General features: G+C 39.9%; 1 protein-coding gene across 5 annotated transcripts in view; it reads right to left on the bottom strand.

Moving 5' to 3' along the window:
• Positions 1-22,454, bottom strand: part of NLN (neurolysin) — a 107,079-nt gene that overhangs the window by 62,178 nt on the left and 22,447 nt on the right. For 4 of the 5 annotated variants that reach the window (NM_020726.5, XM_005248559.4, XM_047417445.1 and 1 more), the window contains exons 2-3: positions 8,280-8,539; positions 3,998-4,146 (exon numbers count right to left, since the gene is read on the bottom strand). In NM_020726.5, the coding sequence (NP_065777.1) occupies positions 3,998-4,146; positions 8,280-8,539 (409 nt within the window). Of the gene's footprint in view, positions 1-3,997; positions 4,147-8,279; positions 8,540-14,442; positions 14,512-22,454 lie in introns of those variants that run through there. The other variant, XM_047417443.1, reaches the window with a different exon arrangement.

The raw sequence follows: 22,454 nt of genomic DNA, 5'->3' as shown, positions 1-22,454 counted from the left end.
TACTGCCCTCCAGACTCCAGAATGGTAGATCCACATGACAGCTTGCACCCTGCACCTGAAAAAGCTGCAGGCAACATCAGCCTGTGAAAGCAGCTACAGGGGTTGTAACCTGAGAACCACAGAGGCAGAGCCACCCAAGGCCATGGGGGCCCACCCCTTGGATCAGTGCGCCCTGGATGTGAGACATGGAGTCAAAGGAGATTTTGGAGTTTTAAGATTTAATGACTGCCTGGCCAGGTTTTGGACTTGCATAGGGCCTGTGGCCCCTTTGTTTTGGCCAATTTCTCCCATTTGGAATGTGAACATTTACCCAACGCCTGTACCCACACTGTGTCTTAGAAGTAACTAACTTGTCTTTGATTTTACAGACTCATAGGCAGAAGAGACTTGCCTTGTCTCAGAGGAAACTTTGGACTTGGACTTTTGAGTTAATGCTGGAATGAATTAAGACTATGGGGGACTGTTGGGGAGGCATGATTGGTTTTGAAATGTGAAAAGGACATGAGATTTGTGAGGGGCTGGGGGTGTGATGAAAGTTTGGCTGTGTCCCTACCCAAATCTCATGTCAAATTGTAATCCAAATTGTAATTTCCGCATGTCAAGGGAGGGAGCTGGTGGGAAGTGAATGGATCATGGGGTGGTTTCCCCCATGCTGTTCTCGTGATGGTGAGTGAGTTCTTACAAGATCTGATTGTTTGATAAGTGTCTGGTGCTTCCCCTGTGCTCTCTCTCCTGACATCATGTAAGACATGCCTTGCTTCCCCTTTACCTTATGCCATGACTGTAAGTTCCTAAGGCCTCCCAGCCATGTGGAACTGTGAGTCAATTAAACCTCTTTCTTTATAAATTACCCAGTCTCAGGTACTCTTTATAGCAGTGTGAAAATGGACAAATACAGACACCTTGAGACTACATGAATAAAGACAGATGCCTGATTAGTTCCTACCTGCTTCAACCCAAGCCACCACTGCCTGAAACCACATGTCAGACCCCAAGTCAGAACTGTCCAACTAATTCCTTTCTGAATTCTTGATCCATAGAAACTGTGAGAGAAAAGAAAATGACGGTTGCTATTTCAGGCCACTAAGGTTTGGGGTAATATGTTATGCATCAATAGATAACTGGAGCCCATATTGCATGAAGAATTATGAAAAGTAATTTCACTTTTCTATGTATTAATTTTAAGTGGAAAATAAAAAGAGCTAAAATAACATTTTATATCCAATTGGGATAATATATTTGATTATTACATATATTATTGGTGTCTTGGGAATATTATTCAGAGCATCCTAATTTTAGTAGAGCAGGCCTGAAATTGCTGACATCATATAAATTTAAGATCCTATTTATCCAGCTTAATGAGGCCTTTATGTGTGGATTTTTTTTTTTTTCTTTCTGAGACATGGTCTCACTCTGTGACTCAGGCTGGAGTACAGTGGCACAACCACTGCTCAGTGCAGTCTCAACCTCCTGGGCACAAGCAATCCTCCCACCTCAGCCTCCCGAGTAGCTGGGACTACAGGCACTTACCACCATGCTCAGCTAATTTTTCTATTTTTAATTAATTAATTTATTTTTTATTTTTTTGAGATGAAGTTTTGCTCTTGTTGCCCAGGCTGGAGCCCAATGGCACAGTCTAGACTCACTGCAACCTCCACCTCCCGGGTTCAAGCAATTCTCATGCCTCAGCCTCCTGAGTAGCTGGGATTACAGGCGCCTGCCACCACACCTGGCTAATTTTTGTATATTTAGTAGAGACAGGGTTTCACCATGTTGACCAGGCTGGTCTTGAACTTCTGACCTCCCGTGATCCACCCGCCTTGGCCTCCCAAAGTGCTGGGATTACAGGCGTGAGCCACCGCACCTGGCCACTATTTTTTATTTTTGTAGAGATGGGTTTTTGCCATATTGCCCAAGCTGGTCTTGAACTCCCGAGCTCAAGTGATCTGCCTGCCTCAGCCTCACAAAGTGCTGGGATTACAGGCGTGAGCCACCATGCCCAGCCATTAATGAAGGCTTTATATGCTATATCATGGCTATCCTATTTAACTTACAGTATCACAGAGAAAATAAATAAAATATTTGGATATCTGATTTTGCCCTTTAGGTACGAATGGGATAAGTTTTACCATTTATTAAAGTGTCCAACTCCAGCAGAGAACTAATACTGGTAATTCTAGGTTTTTAAAAAAATTGCCTAAATAAACATAACCATTTGTCATGGAAGATGTTTAAAGGTAGGTAAATTCACCTAATGACCTTCAATGCAAAAACAAACACAATAGTTATTTTTTATTATCCTGATGTAGAGTTAGCAAATGTTGTAGAAGCCCCTAAAAAATGTTCACACAATAAAAATTATAGAAACCAGAATTACAGAACCAAATCTGAAATTACCTTAAATTGTTAAAATAAAGGCCCGAAATGAACCAGCTCAAATAAAGACACAAATCTGATGAACGCATTGGTGTCTATCAGGTCACTATAGTGTGCCAGTCTACTCTAGAGTCAGCAATTTGTTCCCAAGTTTAGTGGGATCAATCCCAAAACTATAGAAAATTTATTTTATTTTAATTTTTGAGAAGGAGCCTCACTCTGTTGCCCAGGCTGGAGTGCAGTGGCATGATCTCAGCTCACTGCAACCTCTGCCTCCTGGGTTCAAGTGATTCTCCTGCCTCAGCCTCCTGAGTAGCTGGGAATACAGGTGCTTGCCACCATGCCTGGCTAATTTTTGTATTTTTAGTAGAAATGGAGTTTCACCATGTTGGCCAGGCTGGTCTCAAATACACAAAATTTAAAAGTACTCTATGACAAAGAAATGTAAAGTGACAAACCTTTCATATCTTGATAACATTCATAAGAATCACAGAATGTGAAATAAAAACAAAAACATTATTCCAAATAAGAACTTAGAAATCATGATGAAAATAGGATTAATCAAAGGAAACTGGAAATTCTAGGAAAAATTCCAAATTACATAAAAAAAATAGAACAACAAAGAAATGTAATTTGGGGATGAAATAAAATGAGGAGACTATAAAGACCATGATTCAAATCACATCAAATAACTGTGGTCAAAAGGAGCAAGAAGAACAATTTAGCTAATGAAGAATAATCATAAAGTTATTTTCATAACTTACTTTCACCATGAAGTTTATAGACCAAATGTGAATTATTATGAATTATATGATTATCAATTATAGGATGAAAAATGCTTGTCTGATATGAGAAAATAGGATATACATTTTACATGTCTAAATCTTGATGACACATTGTATAATGAGTTACAAATTAAAATGCTATTTAATTTAAAATATTAAATATTCCAACTCTTGTCACGGTCTGCTAAAAAGGAAAAAGTAATTAGGATTCTGCAGAAAGAAACATGCAAAATTAAACAAAAAAAAAGCCTGGAATTTTGAAACTGTTTTTTTTCCCCAAAAAAATTGCTGAAGTGTCATGAAAATAAAAATTGAAAGCTGCTAGGAGGCAAATCAACATTGGTAAAAAGATCAAAAACACCTGGACAGACCCACCTAGAACATTTATTATCCATAATTTCCCCAAGTCTTGAAAAATGTAAGGATGACAGACAGGAATGACTCCGGCATACAGCATCAACAGTATGTCATCAATATTATGGTTCCAAAACCACGAGATATTTACAGATAAACAACTTGATTCCATTTGCTTCTAATTGATTTGGTCTAAGATAACCCTTACATGTAACCATCAAGTTCATAATGTTATTAAAAAGCCTTAACTTTACAGATGTTCACTCTTCTACATTTGGTCTTTAAGTGAATGGAATTAGCAGCTCAACATAACCTCAACGATATAATTAACATTATGTAATACTATATAATGCCCATTATGGTTTTATAATCATTCGAAACAAAAGCTAAGAAAATCCAGTCAGTATGTTTTATTTATGACTGAATGTTCTTTTTTGTTGTAGAGTTTTTCCCTCTTTAAAGGGATTTATAACACCACTTACCTGTAAATGAACAATTCTCTCAAATATATCTCCTCTCATGCTCATCTCAATATCAAAACGAGAAAGTCTTTTGTCTGCTTCTGTACTTGCTGCTCGTACTTCTTTGTCAGAGGATACATGCTGGGGAAAGTCTAGCATGGTCCTTTCCACTGCAGATGGAGAAAAAAACTATCACCACACAACAGGACTTGTCAAATCAGTATTAAGCCAAATACCTCATACCCAGATGAATGATCATGCCAATAAAAGTTTGTTTTATTTTATACTTTCTGTAAAGCCTCCTAAGGCTACCAAGAAAAAGCATCTAATATAGGATTTGGCTGTTCCAGCTGGCATCATTATGAACGGTAAAGATGTGAGCTGAGCACTTATCAAAGTATACTGGGGTACAATTTTTTTTTTTTTTGAGACAGGGTCTTGCTTTGTCGCCCAGGCTGGAGTGCAGTGGTGCAATCACAGCTCACTACAGCCTCAACCTCCCAGGCTCAAGCAATCCTCCTGCCTCAGCACCCCTCTTCCCCAACACCACTGAGTATCTGGGACCACAGGCATGCACCACCACACTCAGCTAATTTTTATATTTTTTTGTAGAGCTGCAGTTTTGCCATATTTCCCAGGCTGGTCTCAAACTCCTGGGCTAAAGTCATCCTCCCACCTCAGCCTCCTAAAGTATTAGGATTACAGGCATGAATCACTGCATCTAGCCTGAGGGTGTAATTTATCAACTGGCAATGCAGGAAGAGAAAGACACAGTTCCTATACTGAGGCTTCTTAGGATCTGGGATGGGAAAAGGGTACATAAAAAGATAAAGACTCCATAGAAAATCTAATCAAAGCAACGGACCCTACCCCAAATGCACACATACATAAAAACATTCAAAATTCCAGATAACTTCAAAGGATCCCCAGAAATCTAAGTGGACACATCCAACAAGTAGCCAGACATTGGAGACAGTCCATTAAATAATAATGATAATTTAGTTTGGTTTAATCTTCACATATTAAAGGTGGTTCCTGGGTTTTTCATCAATTTGTATTTTAACTTTAATTGGGTAAAAATCTCTGATGTCAGTGAAATAACCAATACTATAGAACAAAAATAAGTATGGTTTATAGTGATGGTTGTGTTATGCTGTGAAAATAAGTAAATTTTTATTTGATTAACTTCAGTATTGTGAAGGTATTATAAACAGTAAAATTTCCATATGATATATAGTAGACAGTAGAGCTATCCTTTATACAGCAAGAAATTATACAGTTAAACACTCGTATCAGTCCTCCTAAAACATTGTTACAAATAAAGCTATTAGAAATACCTGCCACAAATATCAGAATAAATCCATAAGGTATATTTTTGAAATATCAAATTATGAAATTATGCTTTTAGGATTTAATAATAATTTTATGTCTGTCGGTTAAGGAAAGAATGGAATAGAAAATTTTGAAATTTAATACAGCACTTATTTAAGTGATACTAGTTAACTATATGGTTGCAATATGTTTACTTTTAAAAATTAGCTATAAAACGGTGGCTCAAGCTCATAATCCCAGCATTCTGGGAGGCTGAGGCAGGTGGATCATCTGAGGTCAGGAGTTTGAGACCAGCCTGGCCAACATGGTGAAATCCTGTCTCTACTAAAAGTACAAAATTAGCTGAGCACGGTGGTGCATGCCTGTAATCCCAGCCACTCAGGAGGCTGAGGCAGGAGAATTGATTGAACCCGGGAGGCGGAGGTTGCAGTGAGCCAAGATTACATGACTGCACTCCAACCTGGGCAACAAGAGTGAAACTCCATCTCAAAAAATAATAATAATAATAAAAAAATAAAATAAATTAGCTATGAAATATATTAAGAAGGAATAAAAATTGCTCATAAACTTATATAAGCAACATCAAATGCAGGAGCCTAAAATTAGAAACATTCTTAAACAAACAAAGGTGCTGAAAGCCATTTCCTTCCTTACTTTGCCACAAAGACCTGGAACCAGATTTATGCTCTCACTGCCAAACCATAGACAATGCTGACGCCCAGTGCCTGACACTAGACAAACAAGGTTTCAACAGCTACTGTGAGAGGCATAATGGACTCAGAGAATATGCCCAGATAAGAGAAAGTTAGTTTTTAAGAAATCTATTCCTAAACTCAAAAATTTTGATAATTAACCCACAAAAATAAATTTATAGAGGAGCAAGAACAAACATCACAAACTTGAAAGTATGCTGAAAAGATCTACTATTGAGAGAAAAACAATTTAAAGTAATTATTTTATAAAGATTTTGTTTGAGCCAGCCATGGTGGCTCACATCTGTAAGCCCAGTGCTTTGGGAGGCCAAGACAGAAGGTTCACTTGAGACAAGGAGTGGGCAACATACATGAGACCAGCCTGGGCAACATAGTGAGATCCCATCTCCACACAAAATGTAAAAATTAGCTGGGCATGGTGGCACATGCCTGCAGTCCCAGCTACTCAGGAAGCTGAGGCAGAAGGATCTCTTGAACCCAAGAGTTCGAGGCTGCAGTGAGCTAGGATTGTGCCATAGCACTCCAGCCTGGGTGACAGAGTGAGACTTTGTCTCAAATGCCTAAGTTATGGGTTGGTATACCATCTTGGCCACAAGTGACTGAAGAAGTGAGCACCTGAACCAAGGACAAACCACATCCAGGATGGTACACGCACATGAAGTTGCCAGCTAGAAAAGCTCTACTGAATAGGGACTAACTCTATCCCTTTGACTTTGACTAATGAAGACAACCAGATCTTTTTATTCACGAGTTTAAATTCAAGACGTGTAATAAGATTGAGAAGCCATTAATGAAAGTGAAGCAGTTGGTAGTAGGAGCAGAAACTGAAACAAATGCTGAGATAAGAGAAAATAGCCAACAAACACTGAGATAAGAGAAAATAGCCAAGTCCTTTTTACAGTGAAACATAGAGTAGAGAACTCTTGGTGATGAAGGGATAGTGGGGGCAAGGAGATGACCAGGTCACTAGGGCTATGCTGGATTCTGATGATCTTTCAAATTCCAAAATGCCCACGAATGTTTACAATATCCAGTTCTGCAGCTATCTTATATTCTTGTATGAAGCCTGGATACACAGCCAAAGTTGTCTGTCATAATTATTCTACAAAGTATGTCCAACCCTTAGAGGTAACCAAAGGGAATCTTCACTCCTTATAACTTGAAGGGTCTAATATGTTATAAAAATAATGTATGTAAGGGCAGAAAATACAGAAAATAGAGAAATACATAAAGAGGAAAGTAAAAATTAGCTATAAACCCATCACCTGATATATTAAACATTCTGATGATTAATCTTATGTGTTAACTTGGAGGGTGTTTTTGATGATATTAACGTTAGAGTGATGAGCCTGAAGTAAAGCAGACTGCCCTCTATAATGTGGTAGCCAAAATCCAAACAGTTTAGGGCCTAAAAGACTCCCTGAACAAGGGAGAATCCTCCTGCAGTCTCCAGACTTCTGCACTACTGGTTCTTCTGGGCCTCTAGGCTACTGGCCTTCGGACTGGAGCTGGAACATCAGCTCTCTTGGGTCTCAAGCCTACCAGCCCCCACTGAGATTCTGGACTTTCCAGACTCCTTAGTCATGTAAGCCAATTCCCTATAATCAATCTATCAATCAATCTCTCTCTCCCCACACATACATATGTTTATATATATATATATACTTACACACACACACACACAGACACACACACACACCCTATAGGTTCAATTTCTCTAGAGAATCCTAACAAAACCATTGATAAAATTTATTTTCTTCCAGTTCTTCTGTGTCCTTTTCCCCATGTCATTAAATACTGCTTGTAATCCATGATTTTAATGGTTATACAGCATTACAGAGGATGGATGTTTCATAATTTATTTATCTAATCTATTAGTTGACATTTGGGAATTGTTTCTAAGCCTATGATATAACAAGAATACCTATTTATACATAAATTGATACATGAATTTTCCATATATATGATTATTTTCTTAGAATAAATGTCTAGGTGTGGAATTAATGAGCAAGGGTATGAATGTCTTAAAAGTTCTGACACATTGTCAAAATGCTCTCCAGAGAGCAGTGTAATCAGAGTGTACATTTTATAGCACCTTTGTCAACATAAACAATTTTAAAATCTTAGATAATTCTAAGCAATTAATTATAATGTAAAAATCAATGCTTGTAAAACTGGAAAACTGAAAGACAGAAAGCATGAAATGATTTAAGATGTCCACAAAGTGAAACACTGATATGCTTCTGCATCTGACCCACCTATATACTTTACTTCTACATCTGCCAGTGCCTGCAGACAGTTCTCGTAAGTTACTTCCTCAATACCGAGCATTCCAACAGCATCGTACACCTGTTTGGTCTGCACAATGAGCTCCTCAGTTCTTGTTTTAATTTGCTCTGGTGAAAGATCCCATCTTAAAACATTTCTGCCAGCCACAGTATAGGAAGACATTGCCTGAAGAGGAGACATCACTTCTCTTCCTAACGTCATTCTGAGTAAAATCCTGGAACCACCAACTCTAAAAAGAATCAGAAAAAGAATAAGAATTAGGGATTTCTGTTGGTCCAAAGTCAACATATGAATGTGCATTATAAAATTAAATATTAAATTAAAAAGAACCTTTTTAAAAAAACAAGCAAATACTCTCAGGTGAACACATATGCACAAAACTAAGTGCCCCTGTATTTCCTATTTTTCTTGCATAATTACATAGTTTTAATGAAATTTGTATAATTCAAACACTGAATTGTTTGTGTAATTAAATCATATAGATAAATAAAGTCAGGTGTTGGAGCTATAATAATTCTCCTTTATAAATTAAATCAGTAATCTTCCCTCCCTCTTTTTTTAAGACAGGGTCTCATTCTGTTGCCCACGCTGGAGTGCAGTGATGTGATCATAGCTCATTGCAGCCTTGACCTCATGGACTCAAGTGTTTCTCCCACCCCAACCTCCCAAGTAGCTGAAACTACAGGGGACATACCACCATGCCGAGCTAATTTTTAAAAATTATTTGTAGAGATGAGGTCTCCCCATATTGCCCAGGCTGGTCTTGAACTCCTGAGCTCAAGCAATCCTCCTGCCTTGGCCTCACAAAGTACTGGGATTACAGGTGTGAGCCACTGCACCCGGCCAGTATCTTTTTTATTTTAATATTTTTCCAATGCTAACTTTCACCTACTATGTACATAGACTCGAAAAAACCTTGCAAGTTTAGCGAGGAAACATTTAAAAACTTCTCTTCTTATACTGAACACCAATTTTTTTTAACCAAAATTTCATGTAAATTAAGAATGACAATTTGAATTTAAGACTTGGAAAATAAACTCTGGGATAGCTATGCCATTATCCTAAAAGAAAAAAAGAAAAAAGAAATTGTTTAGAATAATGATACCAGTCTTTACTCCCTTAAAACATTCAAACTAGTAATACTGATGCCATGTTTCTCTCTCTGTCTATATACATATGCATACATATACATATATATAAGTACATATAATTTTAGGGCTTACAAATAAAAATGTTATATTTAGTAGCTAACATTTATTGTCTGTTCAGGCATGGTTCAAAATACTTCCCATGTAGTAACTCACTCAGTCCTCCAACAACCCTCTAAGTTATATACTGTGGTTAGTCTCATTTTACTGAAGAGAAAACTAAAACACAGAGAAGTTAAGTAACTTGCCTAAAGCCACGCAGCTAGTTGTAGGGTCACAGGTAGGATTAAAAGCTAGGCAGTATGGATCCAGAACCCATACTCTTAACCACTATGCTAAGCTTCATTTCTATTATCTTACAGGATCCCAAAACAACCTTATAAGGTAGGTAGGGCATTACTGTATTCTCTTCTAATAAAGCAATTGAAGCCTCAGAAAGACTAAGTGACTTGTTTAAAGTCATTCACCCAGCTAATATTTATGAGCATGTACTGTATCTAGTTACGTGACAGGCAATGTGGATAAATGGCAAATTGTCTTAGACCCTGACATTCTAATACAGTAGAAAGGACAAATGGATAAATATGCAATTATACTACACTGAGATGAGTGTTATGACAAGTGTAAGCAAAGAGAACTCCAAACGAAGGGAACCCCATTCTGGTCTTGGGGCAGGGGGAATGTGTCAAGAAAGATTTTCTAGAAAGAGCAACTAGCAAACCAACATTTGAACAATGTGTAGGAATTATCCAAAGGTAATGCCATAAGGGGAGAGAAGGCTGAAAAGGTAAGTAAGGTCATTTAGCAAATGAAGAGCCTTGGGAATCATCAGAACATCCAACCTTGGCCAGGCACCGTGGCTCATGCCTATAATCCCAACATTTTGAGAGGGTGAGGCAGGCAGATTGCTTAAGGTCCAGGGTTCGAGACCAGCCTGGGCAAAATAGTGAAACATTGTCTCTACGAAACATTAAAACAACAACGACAACAACAAAAAACTCCCCCAAACATCCAATCTTATTCTGAAGGCAATTCGAGAGCCATAGAAAGGTTTTAATCAGGTGACAGATAACAGATTTGTGTTTTAGAGAAATCACTCAAATTATAATGAGTTGAAAGGTTTGTAAAAGAGATCATTCAAGAGAGAAGTTGTTCTTAGAGCTATTGGGGCTCATGATTAAAGTATATAAAACTAGGAAATAGGAGGAATCGGAATGATTTAAAATATATTCAGGAGTTTGACTCAAAAGGATTTGGTACTGAATGGATGGAGGCGGTGGAGGTGAGAGAGTCAAGAGAGTCAAGGGAAAGGAGGCTTTTTGGGGGAAAAAAGAGAAACTTGATTTTGGACATGCCAAGTTTGAAGTGGCTACAGAACATGTAAGAGGAATTAATATTAAGTGGTAATTTTACTTATAGGAGTACTCAAGGGAGTTTGCAGAGTGAGAAGAGAAAAGCATTGGGGCCCTAACTCTAATATGATCACTGAGGGAGAAGGAATATTAGGCCAATATGGGTTCTAGGACCTTGTGACAAGCAAGCAGTGAAAACAACAGCAAACGTACAGATGTTGAGAAATACTGAAAAGTCTTTGTTGAATACAGCAGCAGAATGCCATTCATGACTCTGGCAAAACCAGTGTCAGGGGAGCAGCAGGGGTACAGGTCAGACTACTATGATGGAGGAATAAGGAAGAGGTGAAGAACTGGAGAGAGTGTGAACCTAGGCAATTCTCTGTGGATCTGGCCGTGGAAATAAGGAGAGCTAACGCAGTGTAGCTAAAAGAGGCTGAGGCACAGAATAGATACATTTTTCACACAGGAGAGACCTAAATACTGACCTCTTCAACTTACTCTCCACAAGAACTCATGTCCACATACTAGTTGATGCTTACAACTCCAGGCTGCCAGGCTATTTTCTAATACATTTTCACATTTCTTCTTCCACCAGTTGAGTTATATGCTAACTAATGGTTAAGCCTGTTGTTCCAAAACCTGTTTATGCCTGTTATGCTTATTTTCATGTAATTTAAATATTTGACTGATTAAATGTATACAACATTTAAAAACTTATTTCTGGGATAGGTAAAAGGTTTCAGAAATACTTTTAAAAAGAGAGTTACAGAAAAATCAACTCCCACAAAAAACTTGTCCTTATGAAAGATTGGGAAAGGAATTGTGACAATTCAGAAGGCTTCTGAATTCATACTACTTATATGTTTCCTTATACGCATGTTCCACTTTCGAGAAGCTGAAACTGGAAATCAAAGATGATGCATTATAGGTGTAGTTTATACAAGAAGGATAGTGAGAAATGCCAATCAAATCATTTACAGTTAGCAAAAGGCCTTGGTTTTAGATCAAAAGTTTTGGGTATAAATATGTTTTAAATTTCCACAAAATATGTAAGAAATTTATCATAGTTATGATTCTACTTGAAACCACTTTTTTTCAATTACATTATTAAGATATTTAGAGAGACTGAGCTCCCTACAGAGATAGGAAGAAATGGAATATAAAACATGAGCAATGTTTTAGACAGAAAAACTACAGTCTTAGTAAAATCAATAAAACAGTAAAATGGGAGTAGTCAGGTTATAGTAAAAATGTGAGATATCTGAATTTAAGACTTCAAGGGTTAAGCAGTTTCTTTGCAAGAGTGTGAAGAAACAAGAGTCTAGTTTGGATAAATTGCCTACATGAACACTGGAGTCAGCAGGTTGATGGTGGATCCCGGGAGTAGAAAGGAAGACTGAACCAGGAACCCGAGTATCTGAAGAAGGAACTCTCAGCTGACTGGGAGAGACAACATGAGCAGGATATAAAATGGGAAAACCAGATGATGAGCCTCAAAGGTGTTTTTACACAATGGTGAAGAAGTGCAGGACATCACAGTGGTTGGAGGGGGCCTCTGGGGGAAAAGAAGATACTGATCTTTCCTCCTTACTTTGTGGTATGGGGTGTGGGAGGAAGAGGGATGCATGGGAAACATTTTTGTCAGGGTTCAGTGGATTTTAGAAAAGGTCAGGAAGAGAAGGGAAGATTCAGGGAATAGTATGAAAAAGTGGAGGAGTTTATTTACCATAGGACAAGGGTTCCAGAAATAACAATGGAGAAGTCAGTGCAGTAGATGGTTAGATATACATGGTTGTCTAGCCATTAACCTCTTCCCCTATCTAATTATATGCACATCTTCCTCTCAACACTCATACACCCCCAACATAGTTCACGTTCTTTGAAGGTAGCTGTCCCTACCCTCAGTACTCTTGCTTGGAATGCTGTGAGAGAAGGGGGTCTCATTCCCACTAAGTGTGAGTACACTTATGTCCTTGATTGCAGCTGGCAGCCATCCTATGAGAATGAGCAGAATCTGATTTACGATAAAACAGACACTTTGAATGGCAGAATAAAGGAAGGAAACCAAATATTTAAAGACACCATAGAGCCCATAGATCAACTAATTGTAAAGCCTGACCATTCCAGTTATGAGTCAGTAAGTCCCCTCTATGATGAAATCAGTTAGAATGGGGTTTTATATTATTTGCCTCATATAGGATCCTACTGATAAAGGAATGAAAACTGATAAAGGAATAAGTATAGGGAGAAACCAACAGTATGGAGGTCAGAGTACAAGAAATGGCAGATGAGTAGAGGGTCTCACATACTTGGTGTTGGTGCAAAATAATAAAGATGTTCAGTTCAGGATTTATACAGTTGGCTGAAAATTTCCAAAATAATTATTTCTGCCAACAGAGGCCACTAAGAAAGAGTCAGTCATGGCCATGACGGGCTGTACTTCAAGGAAGTCCCAGTATAGGTAAAAAGGCTGGCCCTGAGATGACTGAGTTACATGAATATGAAAGAGAAGAACAACGACTAAAACATAGGACATATCCATCTTAACACCCTGTTCTTTTCACCACTCCTCTTAGTATAAACCAATGACTATAGACAAATTTCCATTAGTATCATTAATATTCAGGTTTTTTTTTTTTTTTGGAGATAGAGTCTCACTCTATCCCCTAGGTTGGAGTATAGTGGCACAATCTCAGCTCACTGCAACCTCCGCCTCCCAGGTTAAAGCGATTCTCGTGCCTCAGCCTTCCGAGGAGCTGGGATTACAAGCTTGTGCCACCATGCCTGACTAGTTTTCTGTATTTTTATTAGAGATGGGGTTTCACCATGTTGGCCAGGCTGGTCTCAAACTACTAACCGGAAGTGATCCGCCCACCTTGGCCTTCCAATGTGTTGAGATTACAGGCATGAGCCACCGTGCCCAGCCTATTATTCAGCTTTAAAAGAAAATTACTTCAAGCATTTCACTGATAAGATGACCTTCGTTGGTTTTCATCTATTTCCTAACATTTACTGGAAGGCTGAGTGGTCACAGCATATCTGATTGTTTGTTAAGTCTTATTTTGTTTTTAATTGACACAATAATTGCACATCTTTATAGGATACAGTGCGATGTTTCAATACATGTATACATTGTGTAATTATCAAACCAGGTTAATTAGCATAACTATCACCTCAGACACTTGTCATTTATTTGTAGTGGGAAAGTTAAACTGATAAGGATGTCAATACCTCCACCTCGGCCGGACACATATATGTTTTATAGTTTCCAAGGCAACTAGTGAAAAGCTATTTCTCCCTTAATGTAATACTATTCCCTGAACCTGGAAGGGCTAAAAAGACAGAAACAAAAGCTAGAAATCATGATGTCATGGGTCAACTAAATACATTAAAATTTTTATCTTAATACTTTTTTTCTCACCTTCTGAGATTTTACCTTAATTCTTTTCAGGATTCACAGTTCTTGTTACCAAAGAAAAGGAATGGTGACAGCGGAATGCCTTATACTTCTAACTAAAACATTTTGATCTACTGAGTACTTTCTTTCTGCATTATCTCTGCTTTTCCTCTCCCATCTTCATTTTGCGGAGCATCCCTCCTCTTCCCCTTTGTTACATTTTCAAGCTCACCCAATGCTTTGGATGCTGGTACATTGATCTCGTCTTCCCCTTCCGTGCCTCTGCAGCCCTGGAAAGAACTGCACCTGGGTGGGAAAACCAGTGCACCTGTAGTCATTCCAGCAGCTGCACTTGTATTCTTGAGAACCTGGTGAAGATTTTTCTCTGACTTTTTGCAAGTGAGAGCTACATAAGTCAAAAGCAGACAAACGGCATGAGCCTGTCTTTTCCTACAGCAGTTATTACGTCTAATAATTTGAAAATGAAAAAGTAGATCAAATCTGAGATTCCAGTTGTCTAATTAAACACTAGATTTCTTTTTCCTACTACAAAATTCCAGGCTCTTTATTATTTCTGTCTCAATCATACCTTCTTCATCGTCTCCTCTGTTTTCAAAGCACTTTTCAAAACATGACCTTTGTGAATTTTTTTTTTTTTGAAACAGGGTCTCACTCTCTCAGCCAGGCTACAGTCCAGGTGGCGTGATCATGGCTCACTGTAGCCTCAACCTTCCAGCTCAGGTGATCCTCTTACCTGAACCTTCCAAGTAGCTGGGACTATAGGTGTGCATGACACCTGGCTAATTTTTTGTACTTTTTGTAGAGATGTGGTTTTCCCATGTTGCCCAGGATGGTCTTGAACTCCTAAGCTCAAGTGATCCTTCCACTTCAGCTTCCCAAAGTGTTGGGATGACAAGCATACGCCACTGCACCAGGCCAACACTGTGAAATTTCTAACCAAGAAATAATACAGAATACCATACGGGAATTGACAGGAAGGTGCATTTGCTAGCATTGTAATCTCCTGTGTCCAAAATAATATCATCATCATCATAATAATAGTGTTTAGGCAAAGGAAGAAAGCTGGATAAATTTTGACAGAAATCATCAGGTTACAGAATTTCATTTGGACAAATAAGTATGCCATAGTTATTCTGAGTTAATTATTGCCTTGAGACTTTTGTAAAATATTTTATGGAATGTACTTTCAGAAATGTTGATTTATGGGGTTCATTTTCTTTTGAAGCATAGTTTAAAGTCCTCTACTTCCTCTCATCAAGGCTTTCACCATTCCAGTTCACCTTTCATCTGTGCCATTCATTTTAGACATTTAAATTACTGTCATCACCTATTCAATTAGTTTGTTTTATATTCTAAATGAAACTAGGACTTCTCAAGCACAATGGCCACTGTACATTTCTTTCATCACAAACCCCCACCCCAATGCACTGCACACTGATGAGCAGACAGATGTTCATTATATACTTGAAACAAGATGGGACAAATATGACAAAAACATTAAAGCAACACCATCTTCCCTCATCATCACAAGTAAACATTCATACAGGGAAACACGTTTTATTAGAGCCAGGGCTATAGTGAAACTATATTATGTAAAATTTTACAACTTCTACCTCCTACCAATTTACATTTTTTCCATCCCTTTCCCTGTCACCATGTCACTGTGTTGTACTACATGGTTTGCAGGATATTTCCAGAAATTTGTCCCAATTCTTTGAAACACTTGGCAAATATTCCTAGTATTTGCTTTGCAATTAATGTTTCTCTACAAGCTGCTCTTGAGGTCTGCATTAAATCAATCTCCCCACAAGACCGGAATTCCTGTATAAGTTTAATTATTTCTCTTGTGTGGCTATTACATCAGAAACACTCTAATCCTGATTTCTACCATTTACAAAGTTGTCTTTCTAGCCATTGTTTTGACTAAATCACCCCTCTCCTCACAACTTCTCAGGCCATAGCTCAAGTCCAGGGTCCTTTCATCAGACCATATAGGACTCCTTTATTTCTGATTTCTACAATGCCAAATCCCAGCTACACACCTCACTGAGGTTTACCTGTTTCTCTTTTTCTTTCTCCTTCCTTCTTTTCTTTCTTCTTTCCTTATTTCTCTTTTTTTCTTTATTTTTCTCTCTCTCTCTTTCTCTTTACTTTTTAAAAAGACAAAGTCTCACTCTGTTGCCCAGGCTGGAGTGCAGTGGTACAGTCATAGCTCACTGTAAACTAGACCTCCTGGACTCAAGCAATCCTCCTGCTTCAGCCTCCCAAGTAGCTGGGATTACAGGCATGTGCCAGCACACCCAGCTAATTTAAAAATTTTTAGTAGAGATGGAGTCTTGCTATGTTGCCCATAATGAGCAATTCCTGGGCTCAAGCAATCCACCCGCTTTGGCCTCCCAAAGTGCTGAGATTACAGGCATGGGCCATCGTGCCAGGCCAACTTATCTATTTCCTCAGGTACTCAGTCCATTTCTTTCTTGAAGCCTTCAGCCAAGCAGCACATTATCCACTAGACCTGTGCAGTCCAACACAGCAGGTACATGTGGTTATTTAAATGAATTATGAGTAAATAAAATAAAAAATTCAGTTTCTCAGTTGTACCAGGCACATTTCAAATATTCAATAGCCACTTGTAGTAAGTGGGTACCACACTAGACAGCACAGATAGAGAATGTTTTCGCCACTGCAGAAAGTTCGAACGGACAGCACTGACTGGATGATCCCATTCCTGAGATTCCACATGACAGCACATGTATGCCAAGCAGCCCTGCCTGTGCCCTTCCTTGGGTACCCTTTCTCCTTTCCACTCGCAAACTAGGTTCCTAGGTGTCTTCTCTGGAAGGAAGAAAGGACAGAGAAACAGAGGAAGGGAGAACTCATTTACCGAGTAGCTCATGTGTGCAGGAGTGTTAAAACACTCATCTAATCCTCACAACATGCAGAAATAAGGAGTAAGCACTACTTTCAAGAGCACAGTGTGGCAGAAAAGACTTTCAGTTCTTTCCATAGGGAGCAGGGCCAAGGGTATTGATAATATGATTAGAATATAAAAATGGTTTTTCCACAAGACTGTTTAAATTTCATGTCCTTATTATTTTACAAGTGAGAATTAATCTTATTCACTGACTGAGCTTACTAAGATAGAAGTCACAAAAGTTTACCTAAAGGTTTCTAGTACGAGACCTTCAACACAGCAAATATTTGTGAACTTACTGTTTTCTCTCTGCTCTGTGTCCTTTCACAGCATACATTCTGCCACTGTTCCAAAAGTTCAGCATCACCAGTTGGTGAAGCTCTCCCATCATGCCAGTCTCTTTCTTGGACACTCAACCCCCTACCCTACATCCTCAACCCTGTCACAGGGCACTGGCTTTTCCACTTTGTCTTCACTGTAACCTGGATTCCTGGTGAATGCACTGCCTCTCCCATGAAGTGCACTGACATTCTCTCAGGCTCCTCACACTAGGAGGCCTTGACACAGGGTAAACCTCTCCTTGATCCTCAAAGGGCTGTCCAAATCATTACTGCACTACAATTCTAATCCTCTGAGGCTACTGGCTTCCTGCTACATCCCTTACTAACTCTCTTTGTTGCTGTCATCAACTAAACTCTTTGCCATTTTCTCATATTCACCAAAGAATTAGCTCTACAGTCCCTGTATTAGTCTATTTTCACACTGCTATGAAGAAATACCCAAGACTGGATAATTTATAAGGAAAAAGAGGTATAACGGACTCACAGTTCCACATGGCTGGGAGGCCTCACAATCATAGCAGAAGGAGAAGGAGGAGCAAAGTCACATCTTACATGGCAGCAGGCAAGAGAGCATGTGCAGGGAGCTGCCCTTTATGAAACCATCAGATCTCGTGAGACTTATTCACTATCACGAGAAAAGCACAGGAAAAATCTGCCCCCAGATTCAATGACCTCCCATTGGGTTCCTCCCATGACACATGAGGATTATGGGAGCTATAATTCAAGATGAGATTTGGGTAGGGACACAGCCAAACCATATCAGTCCCTGTCTAAAGTTCCATAATCATCCCAGGGAGACTCTAAGGATGGGTGGACAAGGCTTACCACTCCCTTAACTTCAGTTTCTTTTTTCTCTCTTTTCTTTTTGGGACAGGGTCTCGTTCTGTTGCCCAGGCTGGAGTACAGTGGTGTGATTATAACTCATTGCAGCCTCAACTTCCTGGGCTTAAGCACTTGATCCTCCCATTTCCCTAATAGCTGGGACTATAGGCATGCACCATCATGCCTGGCTAATTTAATTCCTGTAGAGATGGGGTTTCCCTATGTTGCCCAGGCTGGTCTCAAATTCCTGGGCTCAACAATTCTCCCACCTTGGCCTCCCAAAGTGCTGGGATTACAGGCATGAGCCACTGTGCCCAGCCAACATCACTTCCTTAACCTATTTCACTCCAAGAACCTTTGTATTTATTCTTCTTACCACCACTTGGAGATGCTCCTCAGAAATGATAAAGTCAGCTATTCCACTGTAATCACAACCTTCTATGTTTTCAGCTTCCATTTATCTACTCCCATGATTCTTAGTTTTCCATCTCCCTTAGAACTCCAGTCCTTTAATCCCTCTATTTTCTCACTCTAACAGACTTCTCCCACAGCTCAACCCTTCGACCTGGATGACTGCTGTACTTTGTTTTTGTTTTTGAGACAGACTCTTGCTCTGTTGCCCAGGCTGGAGTGCAGTGGCACGATCTTGGCTCACTGAAACCTCTGCCTCCCAGATTCAAGCAATTCTCCTGCCTCAGCCTCCCAAGTAGCTGGGATTACAGGCGTGTGCCACTACGCCCAGCTAATTTTTGTATTTTTAGTAGAGACGGGGTTTCACCATGTTGACCAGGCTGGTCTTGAACTCCTGACCTCAGGTGATCCACCCGTCTTGGCCTCCCAAAGTGCTAGGATTACAGGTGTGAGCCACTGCGCCTGGCTGACTGCTGTACTTTGGCAGGCTCCACTCTGGCCCTCCTGTGTCTGCACTCAGCTCAGATGAGGTAAGGGGATGTGCTCATGCAAAGCTTGCCACTAACATCCTGCAACTGTGCTTTGGGTGACAAGACTCCAGAATCCCTTGCTCAAATGGCTCCCAGAATCTGTGTGGGCCCCTTCCTAGGGTCCATTTTCCTGAGGGTGAACTGCACCATTGGTTTGTACATATCTTGCACTGAGGTGTGGCCATTAAGAGCAGGGAGTGTGGTCAGAGTTTGGACATATAGGTGGGGGCATCCGTACACATGTGAGGCCCCTCATGGTACAGGAGGGGGCCAGGGGTGGGCTTCCAATTGTAGTTTCACCTCAGGTTGCACAACTGTTAGAAGTGAACTTCATCTATCAGGTCAACCATCTCTCACCAAAACCCCAACTTCCAGTCCTTCTGCTATATCAATCTTAAAAACCTCTGCTCAGGACCATTTTAACCAGCTACCTTCTCTATTCTCATAGCAGGCTCTGAACAGAGCTATGGGTTTTGATACTATTATATCATGGCCTCTGATTTGAGTTGGACTCCCAAGCCTTCAGGAAAATCCACCCACAAACATCTGCCTCCCATGACCTATTACTTCAAACTGTGACCAGCCTCCCCGAATTTCTCCTCTCACTGTCAGTAGTTGACCTTGCTGCCTACATTACTAAAGCCATCACACAGAAATTCCCTCCACTTCCCTCCTACGAACATAGCTGCATCTGTATCATCCATTTCTCTTTACTCCTAACTAGTATAAGACAAATCTGACTTGCCTAAAGCCAATTTCTTGCTCTGTGCTTGGGTCCTATCCAATCTCTTCCAGAGACATCACCCATGAAACATCATCTCTCTCAGCAAAATCTTTTTTTTTTTTTTTTTCTGAGACAGAATCTCGCTCAGTCACCCAGGCTGGAGTGCAGTGGCACGATCTCAGCTCACTGCAAGCTCCGCCTCTTGGGTTCACGCCATTCTCCTGCCTCAGCCTCCCGAGTAGCTGGGATTACAGGTGCCCACCACCACGCCCGGCTAATTTTTTGTACTTTTAGTAGAGACGGGGTTTCACTGTGTTAGCCAGGATGGTCTCGATCTCCTGACCTTGTGATCCGCCTGCCTCGGCCTCCCAAAGTGCTGGGATTACAGGCGTGAGCCACCGCGCCCGGCTCAGCAAAATGTTAAATGTCTCATTTGTACTGCCTCTTTATACACACATGTGCTGGAGTATTTACATTTCTCCACCTTAAGTAAAAAAACAAAAACTTCCTTGATCCTGGGTCCCCCACTAGACACCACTATTTCTTCCTTTCCCTTCATCCTCAAGACTTTTCAAAGTGGTCCAGCCAGCCCTACTATCTTTTTGTTCTTATGTCCCAAACACTCTTCACCCTACTTCAATCTGGGTCCTGGTCTCATAAAAAAATGGAAACTGCTCTCACCAAGGTCCCCAGTGATTTCTACTAAATGCAACAGACATTCTTCACTATTTACATCTTGACTTTTTGTGATACATGACAGTGTTTTCCACTCTTTCCTGTTTTTAACTCCCTCTTTTTTGGGAACTTTTCCCTCTTTGGGCTTTTGTGATAATGATTCCTCTTTTCATTTGATGTCTCTGGCTGTTCCCTCATGATTTTTATCATCAGTTGTCTTTTTTTAGGTTTTGTTTTTGTTTTTAGCCCCTTCTCAGGATTCCTTAGAGCTCTTCAGGATTCAGTTCTATGGCCTCTTTTCTTTTCATCTTGCACACCATGCCTGTTCCATTTGTATGGCTACACATGTCACCTATAGCTAAAGACTTCCAGATCTGTACCTCCAGCACAAATCTCCTGAGTTCTAGACCCATATGACCAACTGCCTGTTGGGTAGCTCCACTTGGATGTCAATGGTCACCTTAATACAGTATGTCTAAAATTAAATTGCTCATCTTCCTTGCCCCCAGAACCAAAACTGTCCTCCTTCTTTATTTCTTATCTCAAGGACGATCACCAGTATGTACTCAGTTGTCCAAATCAGAAACCCGGGAGGTTCTGGATGCTTTCTAATCTGTTCTCCAGATTGCCTGCAGAGTAATCATCCTAAAACATAAATCTGATCATGACACTCCCTTTCAATGGCATGGTTCCCCAGTGACTTCAGGATCAAGTTCAAGCTACTACTTCTGAATCTGCCCTAACTACCATGCTGGCTTTCTCAGTGCCATCCTTTTGCTCTCATATCTATGCTCCAGACATAATGAACTACTTTCACATCTCCCTCAAACTGTTAAGCTCTCCTCAGGCCTTTGCAAGACACTACACCAAGAGTTTATATGCATGTTCTTATTTAATCCTCCCAATAAGCCAAGAGGAAGATATTATCAACCCAATTTACTGGCTACAGAGAAGTAGCTTGCTCAAGGTCACATAGCATTTGTGCAGCTGGGATTCAAACCCAAGCCTGACTCCAGAGCCCATATTCTTTTGTATTTTTATTTATAAACTGAAAAGTATCTGAGGGCCCTTATTCTTTATTATCCTATACTGATGCTGCAACTCCCATCCCAGAAAAGGAAATCATCAAATTTCTCACCAATTGCACTTCTCTGATTTTGTACTTTGCTTTTAATGGGGAGAGAATAAGGTGACTTAAAGCATACATGCTTACATCACATGTCTGACTTGTTATCTATACCACTCCCTGAGAGATTGCTGCAGGGGCTGTGGAGAAGTGCCCCACTTTAGCTTTCATCCAGCTCTGAAAAACAGGTCACATAGACTTGGGCAGCTTTTTAGTCACCTGTTCTCAAAGAGTAAAACCACTCAAACATGGAAGACCTGGATGGCTGCCCTCTGCACCCAGGTCTCATTTTTTTCCAGAGCCCTTTAATGAACTGTTCATAGGTAATCAATAAATCACTTGGAAACAGTGTACTCCCAGGAAATGGCAAATTCTTCCTTAAAGTACTCAAACAAATAATCTACATCTTTTATTGATAAGGTTCAGCTGAGGCATTCTTTTCTTTTCTCTTTTTTTTGAAACGAAGTCTTGCTCTCTCACCCAGACTGGAGTGCAATGGCATGATTTTGGCTCACTGTAACCTCCACCTCCCAGGTTCAAGTGATTCTCCCACCTTGGCCCCTTGAGTAGCTGGAATACAAATTTTTGTATTTTTAGTCGAGACAAGGTTTCACCATGTTGGCCAGGCTGGTCTTGAACGCCTGACCTCAGGTGATCCACCCGCCTCGGCCTCCCAAAGT

This window comes from Homo sapiens, chromosome 5 (genome assembly GCF_000001405.40).
Source record: "Homo sapiens chromosome 5, GRCh38.p14 Primary Assembly".
NCBI classification, from domain to species: Eukaryota; Metazoa; Chordata; class Mammalia; order Primates; family Hominidae; genus Homo; species Homo sapiens.
This window is presented reverse-complemented; position numbering and strand designations above follow the sequence as displayed.